General features: G+C 59.8%; 1 protein-coding gene and 1 non-coding gene across 51 annotated transcripts in view, besides 1 other annotated feature; both read left to right on the plus strand.

Moving 5' to 3' along the window:
• Nucleotides 1–11,489, plus strand: part of TMEM94 (transmembrane protein 94) — a 43,818-nt gene that overhangs the window by 31,004 nt on the left and 1,325 nt on the right. For 3 of the 50 annotated variants that reach the window (XM_047437170.1, NM_001321149.2, NM_001438843.1), the window contains 26 exons: nt 294–496; nt 1,121–1,272; nt 1,628–1,730; nt 1,938–2,024; nt 2,596–2,712; nt 3,064–3,120; nt 3,411–3,515; nt 3,665–3,829; nt 4,053–4,262; nt 4,836–5,151; nt 5,291–5,464; nt 5,853–5,955; nt 6,061–6,278; nt 6,989–7,170; nt 7,258–7,396; nt 7,646–7,761; nt 7,906–8,005; nt 8,328–8,436; nt 8,644–8,833; nt 9,092–9,169; nt 9,475–9,560; nt 10,143–10,224; nt 10,537–10,685; nt 10,806–10,900; nt 10,991–11,084; nt 11,274–11,444. In XM_047437170.1, coding sequence (XP_047293126.1) covers nt 294–496; nt 1,121–1,272; nt 1,628–1,730; nt 1,938–2,024; nt 2,596–2,712; nt 3,064–3,120; nt 3,411–3,515; nt 3,665–3,829; nt 4,053–4,262; nt 4,836–5,151; nt 5,291–5,464; nt 5,853–5,955; nt 6,061–6,278; nt 6,989–7,170; nt 7,258–7,396; nt 7,646–7,761; nt 7,906–8,005; nt 8,328–8,436; nt 8,644–8,833; nt 9,092–9,169; nt 9,475–9,560; nt 10,143–10,224; nt 10,537–10,685; nt 10,806–10,900; nt 10,991–11,084; nt 11,274–11,444 — 3,601 coding nt within the window. Of the gene's footprint in view, nt 1–293; nt 497–1,120; nt 1,273–1,627; nt 1,731–1,937; nt 2,025–2,595; nt 2,713–3,063; nt 3,121–3,410; nt 3,516–3,664; nt 3,830–4,052; nt 4,263–4,835; nt 5,152–5,290; nt 5,495–5,852; nt 5,956–6,060; nt 6,279–6,988; nt 7,171–7,257; nt 7,397–7,645; nt 7,762–7,905; nt 8,006–8,327; nt 8,437–8,643; nt 8,834–9,091; nt 9,170–9,474; nt 9,561–10,142; nt 10,225–10,536; nt 10,686–10,805; nt 11,085–11,273; nt 11,445–11,489 lie in introns of all 50 variants that reach the window. The other 47 variants (NM_001438841.1, NM_014738.6, NM_001321148.2 and 44 more) reach the window with 30 other exon arrangements.
• Nucleotides 429–478: an enhancer, noted in NCBI's record as "active region_12765". NCBI's record gives its function as "activates an Ori minimal core promoter by ATAC-STARR-seq in GM12878 lymphoblastoid cells {active_cell/tissue: GM12878}" and the evidence as "EXISTENCE:reporter gene assay evidence [ECO:0000049][PMID:35858748]".
• MIR6785 (microRNA 6785) lies at nt 10,910–10,990 on the plus strand. Its single transcript, NR_106843.1, has one exon. It is a non-coding gene; the product is annotated as a microRNA 6785 (primary transcript).

Raw genomic sequence — 11,489 nt, forward strand, 5'->3', positions numbered from 1 at the left:
CTCACAGGCCCTCTGCAATGTTTGTGAAGTGTATCTGAATGGGATGGGGGTACAAAGAACGAGAGCTCCAGGTGTTGAGAGGAGGTAGAGGCTCTGGGGCTGGAGTGGCCGGGTAGGGCTTTATAAGGGAGGCATCCTTGAAAGCAGGGAAGTGTTGGAACGAGTGGAGGGGTTTGACGCAGACCTCCTGGGAGAGGAAGTGGGCAGACAGTGCTTCCGGAAGTGCTGCTGTATCTGACTGGGGGGCAGGGCCGTGGCTGAGAGGGTTGTTTCCCTCTTTCCATTCCCCTCAGATGCCCTCAGGGATGGCAGGGAGATCCAGTGGCCCAGTGCCATGTATCCAGACCTCCACATGCCTTTTGCGCCATCCTGGTCCTTGCACTGGGCCTACAGAGACGGACACCTGGTCAACCTGCCAGTCAGCCTGCTGGTTGAAGGAGACATCATAGCTTTGAGGCCTGGCCAGGAATCGTTTGCTTCTCTGAGGGGGATCAAGGTAGCTTGAGGCTTTCCTTCTCCCTTGGAAATGCGGTGGGAACATCCACAGGCAACGATGGGAGGGTCCCCAGACTTCATCCGGAAGCTTCCCGGCCAGCTTACTGGCTTTTTGGCAGAGGCTCTGGAACATCTTCCTCCACCCTGCTGTTCTTTTTTTTGAAACAGGGTCTCACCCTGTCGCCCAGGCTGGAGTGCAGTGGCACGATCTCAACTCACTGAAGCCTCTGCCTCCTGGGTTCAAGCGATTCTCCCACCTCAGCCTCCCCAGTAGCTGGGATTACAGGCACATGCCACCACACCTCAACTGGCTTATTTTTTATTTTTTGGTAGAGATGGGGTTTCGGCATGTTGGCCAGGCTGGTTTCGAACTCCTGACCTCAGGTGATCCACCTGCCTTGGCCTCCCAAAGTGCTGGAATTACAGGTGTGAGCCACCACGCCTGGCCCCCTGTGCTGTTCTTTATTCTCGCTAAAAGTCTAGTCCCACAGGCCCTGTCCCAGTGGACTCTGGGCTAACTGATGGCTCCTAACCCCAGCGAATGTCTGTACTTAGATGAATTGTCCAGGAAGAGTGGCCTCTGATAGGACCCTCTCGTTCCCACTCTCCCACTTGCTGCCGGCAGGATGACGAGCACATCGTCCTGGAGCCGGGAGACCTCTTCCCCCCCTTCTCCCCTCCACCCTCACCCCGGGGAGAAGTGGAGAGAGGGCCACAGAGCCCCCAGCAGCACCGGCTTTTCCGTGTCCTTGAGACCCCTGTGATTGACAACATCAGGTAGGGGTGCTGCCCCGCCTCCTCCTGTCCCTGGTGTCTTCTGTGAAGAGGGGAATGGGACTGACAAGGAAGGGGCCCCGTTCATCTCGAGGTTCTCTTGAGGGCAGGCATCTCCTTAGGCTCCTGTCCTTAACATCTTGTGAGAATTCTTAGACTGAGTGGTGCCCTCTCCCAGTCTCTACTCTGAGGGGACAGCTCTGGAGGTGAACACGGGCTAGGGCCAGGGCAGAGCGTGGAACTGCAGGACTCACGGTGCTTGAAGAAGCGGTATCTGGCAGAGAGGCCCAGAATCCTCCCAAGGTGTAGGTTTCTAGCCTCTCTGCCAAGTGAGACTGACAGTCACTTCTTTCTGCAGATGGTGCCTGGACATGGCCCTGTCCCGACCAGTCACTGCCCTGGACAATGAGCGGTTCACAGTGCAGTCGGTGATGCTACACTATGCTGTGCCCGTGGTCCTGGTGCGTGTGGCGGGGCTGTGCGGGGCTGCATGGGGCAGAGGAGAGGGCTGGACACGGGGGGGTCTCAGGGCCACTCACATGAGCGGGAGTGAATGCAGAGGGTCCCAGAGTGAGCCAGCCTGTGGAGTAGCAAAGGAAGGGGAACGGCAGTGCCTGGGTCCCTCTAGAGGGGCGGGGTCAAGGCTGTGCCTCTGCTGTTCCCAACAGGCCGGCTTCCTCATCACCAATGCCCTGCGCTTCATCTTCAGTGCCCCGGGGGTCACTTCCTGGCAGTACACCCTCCTCCAGCTCCAGGCAAGGACCACCCTGTCCTCTCTGTCATGCTTCCCTCCGACCCGCAGGGCTGGCTCTTCTCCTAGTACCCTGGCTGTCCCTCCCTCTCTGCAGCCCAGAGGTCCCCTCACGCTTCAGCTTAAGAACACCTCTTTCCAGCTGGGCGTGGGGACTCAGGCCTGTAATCCAAGCACTTTGGGAGGCCACGGCAGGCAGATCATGAGGTCAAGAGATCGAGACCATCCTGGCCAATATGGTGAAACCCCGTCTCTACTAAGAATATAAAAATTAGCTGGGCGTGGTGGCACGTGCCTGTGGTCCCAGCCATTCAGGTGGCTGAGGTGGGAGAATCCCTTGAACCTGGGAGGTGGAGGTTGCAGTGAGCCGAGATCACGCCACTGCCCTCCAGCCTGGCGACGGAGCAAGACTCCGTCTCAAAAAAAAAAAAAAAGAACACCTCTTTCCCTTCCTGCCCCTGAGAGAGCTGGCCCTTCCTGCCCAGGGAATGGCCGTGGGGCCAGGGCAGCCCTTCCCTTCCCTCCTCCCCAGGCCCGGAGCTCAGGAGCCATCTGTGTGGTCCGCTCCTTCCCAGGTGAATGGCGTCCTGCCCATCCTCCCCCTGCTCTTTCCAGTCCTCTGGGTTCTGGCAACTGCCTGTGGAGAGGCCCGTGTCCTGGCCCAGATGAGCAAGGCCTCACCCAGCTCCCTGGTAGGTTTTTCCAAGGTGTCTGGGGGAAGTCACAGGAACAAAAAGAGGGAGCTGGCTGTGCCAGAGGACGGGGGCAGAAGTCCAGCCCCACCTTGGGCTCGGCATGTTGGTCAGCCTGGGCAGCTCTCCAGGCCTCGGGCCCTCTCCATTCCAGAAGGGCCTCCAGGCCAGGCCCTGGGTGTGAGTGAGCGTCTGCCCTGGCTTCCACCAGGTGGGGAGTCAGAACGGCCTGGGCCCTTTACCAAAGGGGTTGGGAGCCCCGCTGGTGTGGGCCCCCCCTCTGCCAGCTTGGAGAGGCCTGTGTGAAGGCGGCGTTTTCCTCACTGAGGACCTCACCCTCTCTCCGTGCAGCTGGCTAAGTTCTCAGAGGATACTCTCAGCAGCTATACGGAGGCTGTCTCCTCTCAGGTACAACACTGACCCGGGATGGCTTCTCTCGCAGGTCCCTAGAGCCATAACCCTGGGACTCCCCTATTTATGGCCTTAAAGCCTCCAACCAGGCTCTTAGAGCCCCATGTCCACCCGTTACATGTGGACATAACCTGGACCTGTTCCCATAACGTGTCCACACCCTGTCCCAGAGAAGTGCCTCTCCACCCCAACTTCGTGGTGCTCCCCTGGATTTTCCCCTAGAGGCCGTCTCCAGGGAAATGAGGCTGAGCCCTAAATGGCCTTGCAGACTTCCTCTCTCCCACCAGGAAATGCTGCGCTGCATTTGGGGCCACTTCCTGAGGGTGCTCGGGGGGACATCGCCAACGCTGAGCCACAGTTCCAGCCTGCTGCACAGCCTGGGCTCTGTCACGGTGAGGGTGGGCCTTGCGGGGAGGAGGCAACTGTCATGCCCGCCCTGCTCTCTGGCTGGGCCTGGGCTGCCCACCTGCCGCTTGAGTGGCCCCTGGGCAGGATAGGCTAATGCCAGGCCCCTTTCCTATCTCAAATGCTTTCCATGCAGGTCCTGTGCTGTGTGGACAAACAGGGGATCCTGTCATGGCCAAATCCCAGCCCAGAGACTGTACTGTTCTTCAGCGGGAAGGTGGAGCCCCCTCACAGCAGCCATGAGGACCTCACCGATGGCCTATCCACCCGCTCCTTCTGCCATCCCGAGGTAGAGGAGGAGGTACGGCCGGCTCCCATGGGCCCGACTCTGGGCCAGGCTGTTTAGCCTTGGAGCCTGGCCAGGGAGGGTGAGGTTTCGGAGGGCGAAGGAGGGTTTGGGCACCATTAGGATCTGCTTCTGGGCAGGTGAGGTGAAGACAAGGCAGCCAGGGGACCTAGAAGCATCCTGCCTCCCCAGGCCATGGGAGCCACTGGTCCTAGCCTGTGCTCCTCATTCTCTTCAGCCCCATGAACGAGACGCCCTCCTGGCTGGCTCCCTGAACAACACCCTGCACCTTTCCAATGAGCAGGAGCGTGGCGACTGGCCTGGCGAGGCTCCCAAGCCCCCCGAGCCCTATTCACACCACAAAGCGCATGGCCGCAGCAAACACCCATCTGGCTCCAACGTGAGCTTCAGCAGGGACACCGAGGGTGGTGAAGAAGAGCCCAGCAAGGTGACGGGAGGGGGTGGCACGGGGCAGCCACACCCTCGGCCACAGGCTGTCCTGGCCTCCCTGGCCAGCCTGGCCTCACAAGGTCTGAAAGAGCAGGCGTCTCTGCCCTCTGTCCCAGCACCTCCAGGCTAGGCCAGTGGTCCCTGAGGCCCTCCCCAAGTCTGCTGCGAAGTAGGTGGAGCCTCCCCCTACCCTTCCATTCTTGTAATCGCAATCACTGGTGTCCCTACTGGAACCTTCCAAATATACACAGCCCGGAGCTCCCTCTTAGAGATGTTCCCTGGCCACAGAAGATCCCTCAACTGTGTCCTCTTTGGTCTGGCCACCCCTCTTTTTAGCTCCTGCCAGTGTCATGAGATATATTAATAGTCCATAGAAGCAGACAGGAGCCCAAGAAGGACAGGAAGCGGATTTCAGGAGGGAGCGGGTGGAAGAGGGTGAGCAGCAGCTCTCTCCTGGGAAGGGTGCCTTTCAGGGGCAGGAGCCCTCCCCAGCCTTGGGAGGTGGGCAGAGCCAGTGCTGGCTTCCCCACACCCTATCCCGGGCTGAGGCTCTCCTCCACATTTCCCCCAGACCCAGCCTGGGATGGAGAGCGACCCCTACGAAGCAGAGGACTTTGTGTGTGACTACCACCTGGAGATGCTGAGCCTGTCCCAGGACCAGCAGAACCCCTCCTGCATCCAGTTTGATGACTCCAACTGGCAGCTGCACCTCACCTCCCTCAAACCCCTGGGCCTCAATGTGCTGCTGAACCTGTGTGATGCCAGCGTCACCGAGCGCCTGTGCCGATTCTCCGACCACCTGTGCAACATCGCCCTGCAAGAGAGCCACAGCGCCGTGCTGCCCGTCCATGTGCCCTGGGGCCTCTGCGAGCTTGCCCGCCTCATTGGTACAGGTCCCCATGGCAGGGGATGGCTGGCTGGACCCGCCTCCTAGAAGAGGCCCAGTACCAACTCCTCACGGGACTTAATGGACCTGGCAGGGTATTGCCAGGGCATGGCCCTAAGTTCCTGTTCCCCGCCCTGCAGGCTTCACTCCTGGGGCCAAGGAGCTTTTCAAGCAGGAGAACCATCTGGCGCTGTACCGCCTCCCCAGTGCCGAGACAATGAAGGAGACATCGCTGGGGCGGCTCTCCTGTGTCACCAAGCGGCGGCCTCCCCTCAGCCACATGATCAGCCTCTTCATTAAAGACACCACCACCAGTGAGCCCTGGCTACGTTGGCCAGCACCAGGCGAGACCTTCCAGAGCTTGGCAGGGGGGCTCTGCCCAGCCCCACCCATTGCTAGGGAGGCCTGGGCAGATGAAAAGTAGACTGCTTCCAAGTGTTCCACTCTGGCAGGGCTGGAATTGGGGACCAGGGCTGGGATGGTGTTGGCTGCAGAGGCCGGGATTGTCCAAAGGATGGGAATATGGTGTCTGCATTCCAAGCCCAGTGGCATTGCAGAGCCTTGCTGTCCGTGAGTCCCAGGGAGTCTCCTCCTCTGGCAGGGGCTCCTCAGCGCCCTTCTCCAGGAGGACAGTGCGTTGCCTGTCAGGTCAGCGTGAGGGGGCTGGTTAGCGACACTCAGGGTTTGAACTCTCTCCCCCAGGCACAGAGCAGATGCTGTCCCATGGCACCGCTGATGTGGTCTTAGAGGCCTGCACAGACTTCTGGGACGGAGCTGACATCTACCCTCTCTCGGGATCTGACAGGTGGGTGAGGAAGCACATGCCAGCAGCAAGAGCAGTCGCGCTGCCGGGGCACCTGCCCTTCACAGGCAGGAACACTCACCTCACCTCCGCCTGCTTCCCTGGCAGAAAGAAAGTGCTGGACTTCTACCAGCGAGCCTGCCTGTCTGGGTATTGCTCTGCCTTCGCCTACAAGCCCATGAACTGCGCCCTGTCCTCTCAGCTCAATGGCAAGTGCATCGAGCTGGTACAGGTGCCCGGCCAAAGCAGCATCTTCACCATGTGCGAGCTGCCCAGCACCATCCCCATCAAGCAGAACGCCCGCCGCAGCAGCTGGAGCTCTGACGGTACCTCATGGGTCTGTCCAGCGGGGCTGGTGCTGGGGCTCCCCTGGGCTGCCGAAGCCCAGGAGCAGGGAGGGCGTCTGGAGGGCCCCGGCACCCCCCACAGCAAAGGGGGCAGTGGCCACAGCCCCAGGCTGGGACGCCAGTGTGGCACTCTATCCGGGGACATGGGGAGTCCCTTAGTTTCCTCCCTTATCAGTGGGTGCTCACTTGGCCTGCCTCACTGGTTGGTTGTGATGCTCAAGTGGGTTACGTGTATCAGAATGCTTTCCTGGGAAGTTACCAAGCAGCGTTCCTAGAGCATTAGGCTTAGTAGGATCAGACAGGAGATCAGGTCTGTCACCCTGCTGGTGCAGAGGGGCCCAGAAGCTCCACCACGCCACCCCATTCCCACCAGACACGCACACTTCCCAGGTTTTTTGAACCCAAGAGACTGTGAATTGAAACAGTTGCTGAGGGTAGGGCCAGTACCCCCTGGGCAGGAGCTGAAGCCACGCCTTGTTGTAGCTTCCAGCTCAGATTCGGCTACCTGACTGATGCATACCTTTCACTGTCTTTTCTCCTGTGTCTGTCGGCTCCTTCGTGTGTCTTGGCTGTGTGTGGTCCCCTGGGGCCCATATGCTCATTGATTTGGGTGTGGCATCTGTGTGTGTGGCCCTGGGCTGGTTCCTGGGTGTCCTGATCGGGCTGTGTCCTGTGTGTCCTGCCTGAAGAAGGGATCGGGGAGGTGCTGGAGAAGGAAGACTGCATGCAGGCCCTGAGCGGCCAGATCTTCATGGGCATGGTGTCCTCCCAGTACCAGGCCCGGCTGGACATCGTGCGCCTCATTGATGGGCTTGTCAACGCCTGCATCCGCTTTGTCTACTTCTCTTTGGAGGATGAGCTCAAAAGCAAGGTGGGGAGAGCCATCCCTTCTGCCACCACTAACTCTGTTTCCACGGGCTTTTGGGCCCGTATGTTCATGGCCGTCTGCCTTTCACAGGTGTTTGCAGAAAAAATGGGCCTGGAGACAGGCTGGAACTGCCACATCTCCCTCACACCCAATGGTGACATGCCTGGCTCCGAGATCCCCCCCTCCAGCCCCAGCCACGCAGGCTCCCTGCATGATGACCTGAATCAGGGTAAGGGCAAAGGCGTGGGGTGGGGACGGGGTGGCGGTGGGAGGATTCCCCTCCTCAGAGCCACAGCCAGGAAGAGCCTCCGGAGAGCCCTCCAGTTAAGTACATTCCCTTGGGAAATGGCTCTGATGTCCCTGCGGGAAACAGTAGTCAGCAGGAAGGAGTGGACACAGGCAAAAAATTCTCTGCAGGGCAAGGACAGGTTCCCAGAAGGCTGGTCCCAAGGTGAGGGAGAGGCTTTTGTCCCCACAGTGTCCCGAGATGATGCAGAAGGGCTCCTCCTCATGGAGGAGGAGGGCCACTCGGACCTCATCAGCTTCCAGCCTACGGACAGCGACATCCCCAGCTTCCTGGAGGACTCCAACCGGGTACGATGGCAGGATCTGTCTCACGTGTTCCTGTAGTGGTCCCATAGCTGGTCCAGGGGAGAGGTAGAGAGGTGGTGGGCAGGCGGTGGAGGGGAGGGATGCTGATCCCCATCCCGAAGCCGCTGGCATCTCTGCTTTCTCCAGGCCAAGCTGCCCCGGGGTATCCACCAAGTGCGGCCCCACCTGCAGAACATTGACAACGTGCCCCTGCTAGTGCCCCTTTTCACCGACTGCACCCCAGAGAGTGAGTGCTGTGGCCATGGGTACTTGGGCAACCTGGTCCCGTCGGCTGAGCTCTGCCTGGGCCTGCGTACCCCGTGGGCTCTGGAGGGATGTAGGTTTCCCATGCAGGGAGTAAAGGAACCTGGGCTGGGATCAGCTGGGGAATCTTGTGGGTTGGAGTCAGAAGTGCCGATGTTCACATGATCCCGCTGCCGGGGGTGGGATTGTTTCAAAGAGGGGCCCACCTCCCATCGCCTCCTGCTCTCCTGTCCCATGGGTCTCTGCCCAGTGCCCACTTGGTGCTCTGCCTGCCTGACTCTGGTGCCCTTATACGCTGTCCTCAGCCATGTGTGAGATGATAAAGATCATGCAAGAGTACGGGGAGGTGACCTGCTGCCTGGGCAGCTCTGCCAACCTGCGGAACAGCTGCCTCTTCCTCCAGAGCGACATCAGGTCAGGGCGGGACCCTGGAGCCTGCGGGCCAGCCTCTACCTCCCAGACCGGAGGATCAGATGGGCCTGCGTGGGGCTGGGGGTGTGTACTATAGCCGACCTCGCCCTGGCTGGGACCAATGCACCTGGGCATGGTGGGAGAAGAGGGTGGGGTGCCCAGTCCTGTGGGAGATACAGCTGAAGTGTGTGTGTCCCCCACCCTGAGCAGCATTGCCCTGGATCCCCTGTACCCATCCCGTTGCTCCTGGGAGACCTTTGGCTACGCCACCAGCATCAGCATGGCCCAGGCCTCGGATGGCCTTTCTCCCCTGCAGCTGTCAGGGCAGCTCAACAGCCTGCCCTGTTCCCTGACCTTTCGCCAGGAGGAGACCATCAGCATCATCCGGCTTATCGAACAGGTGGGTGCTTCGGCAGGCAAAGGAGGAGAGACGCAGGACAGGACCCGCCTGGGGTGGGAGTAGCAGCAAAGGACCTGTTTGAACCCGGGGACCTCATTCCCCAGCCCTCCGAGCGGGCTCTCCCAGGCAGTTACATTCGCCTCTGCTCCCCTCGTAGAAGCATCCTGGGCGTCTGGCTCTTGGCTAAAGTGTGTCAGCTGTTGGGCCTGGGAGAGGCCAGGTAGACCCAGGCCATAATCTGTCCCTCTTGGTCCCTAGGCTCGGCATGCCACCTATGGCATCCGTAAGTGCTTCCTCTTCCTGCTGCAGTGCCAGCTGACTCTTGTGGTCATCCAGGTGAGGTGGGGCCCGCACAGGCATTGCCCCCGTGCCACTCACCCCTTCACTCAGGGGCCAGCTGAAAATCTGAGGAAGGAGGCTGGGGTTAGCAGTACAGTCAAGGGGTCCCCCCAGAGCCTCTGTGAAGCCCCTGGGCTTTTTGAGCTGACCCTCATTGGCAGAAGAGTATTCCCTCCGGCCCCTGTTCCCTCTGGCAGGATGTGAGCATCTATCTGGGCCCAGGGCAAGGGAGCTCGGGGGCTCCTATGCCCTTATTATTTGCCTGAATTGAACTGTGGCTCTTGGCTTCTTTCCTGGTCTAGTTCCTTTCTTGCCTGGTCCAGCTGCCGCCACTCCTGAGTACCACCGACATCCTGTGGCTGTCCTGCTTTTGCTACCCTCTGCTCAGGTGAGATGCCATGTATCTTCCCCACACCCCATGCCTAAGCAGGAGGTGTCTGGATGTCACTGTGCAGCCCCAGGAGCCCAAGGTTCTGGAACTGCTCAGGTCTCACCTCCTCTGGTACAGGAGGCATGGAGGGAACCCCCTTTGTCTTTTTTTTTTTTTTTTTTTTTTTTTTTGAGATGGAGTCTCGCTCTGTCACCCAGGCTGGAGTGCAATGGTGCAATCTCTGCTCATTGCAACCTCCGCCTCCCGGGCTCAAGTGATTCTCCTGCCTCAGCCCCCTGAGTAGCTGGGATTACAGGCACCCACTATCATGCCTGGCTAATTTTTGTATTTTTAGTAGAGATGGGTTTTTGCCATGTTGGCGAGGCTGGTTTTGAACTCCTGACCTCAAATGATCTGCCCATCTCAGCCTCCCAAAGTGCTGGGATTACAGGTGTGAGCCACTGCCGTCCAGCCTTTGTTTTATTCCATCCCCTCACCAGACTCGACCTCACGCGCAAGACTCCCTAGAGGTTCCCTCTATGAGAATTGAGGGACAGAGGGTCATTGTCACCATCCCTCTACCTGATCTCTGCTTTTCAGCATCTCTCTGCTGGGGAAGCCCCCCCATAGCTCCATCATGTCTATGGCAACGGGGAAAAACCTCCAGTCCATTCCCAAGAAGGTAAGCAAAACAGACCCTGTGAGCCTTGCAAGTGAGCATGGAAGGGACTGAGGATTGGGGGAGGAGAGAGGGGCTAATCTGGAAGGCTCTGGATGGGGGATTCCAGCAGAACTCCGGCACTTGGTTCCTAGTCTTCCCCCAGATCAAAGAGGAGGTAGTGGCACAGAGCTGGGAAAGACCCTTGCTGGGGCTTGAGCTCCCTATCCCCCCAGGCCTGACCATTTACTAAGAGCCCGTTGAATACGTGGAAGAGCTAGGAGCAGCCGGCAGAGGGGCTGTGCGCCCCAGGAGTGACTGGCCTTGTTCCCGCAGACCCAGCACTACTTCCTGCTCTGCTTCCTGCTCAAGTTCAGCCTCACCATCAGCTCCTGCCTCATCTGCTTTGGCTTCACACTGCAGAGCTTCTGTGACAGCTCCCGGGACCGCAACCTCACCAACTGCTCCTCCGTCATGCTGCCCAGGTGGGTCCCAGCCCCAGAGATCCACCCATCGCCTGCCTCGCCTCGAGGCTTCCTCCCTCCCCACCCCAGCCTACCTCCCTGCGGCCCTAGAGGGGCTGAGCCCATGCCTCACTTTGGCAGCAACGACGACAGGGCTCCAGCCTGGTTTGAGGACTTTGCCAATGGACTGCTGTCGGCTCAGAAGCTCACGGCCGCCCTGATTGTCCTGCACACTGGTGAGAGGGCTCCCTGGGAGGGCGTGGATGATGGTGGGAGAGGAGCCCCACTGTGGAAGTCTGACCCCCACATCGCCCCACCTTCCCCAGTCTTCATTTCCATCACCCATGTGCATCGCACCAAGCCCCTGTGGAGAAAGAGCCCCTTGACCAACCTCTGGTGGGCCGTGACAGTGCCTGTGGTGTGAGTATTGCTAGGATGGAGGGCGGAGTGTGGGCTGGGGAGGAGAGGGCCTTCTGCAGGGCTAGGATCGGAGGGCGGGACCGGGGCCAGTGGTTTAACTGTACCCTGCCTGAGCTAACTGTTGTACTGGGAAGAGCAGGGAAGGAAGCAAGCAGTGTCGGGTTCACACGGGGCCGCCACCTCCTGCAGGCTGCTGGGTCAGGTGGTCCAGACGGCTGTGGACCTGCAGCTGTGGACACACAGGGACAGCCACGTCCACTTTGGCCTGGAGGACGTGCCCCTGCTGACATGGCTCCTGGGCTGCCTGTCCCTGGTCCTTGTGGTGGTGACCAATGAGATCGTGAAGCTACATGAGATTCGGTGAGCTGTCAGCAGGGCGCCTCCCTCTGGGCTCAGGCATGTTCC

This window comes from Homo sapiens, chromosome 17 (genome assembly GCF_000001405.40).
Source record: "Homo sapiens chromosome 17, GRCh38.p14 Primary Assembly".
NCBI classification, from domain to species: Eukaryota; Metazoa; Chordata; class Mammalia; order Primates; family Hominidae; genus Homo; species Homo sapiens.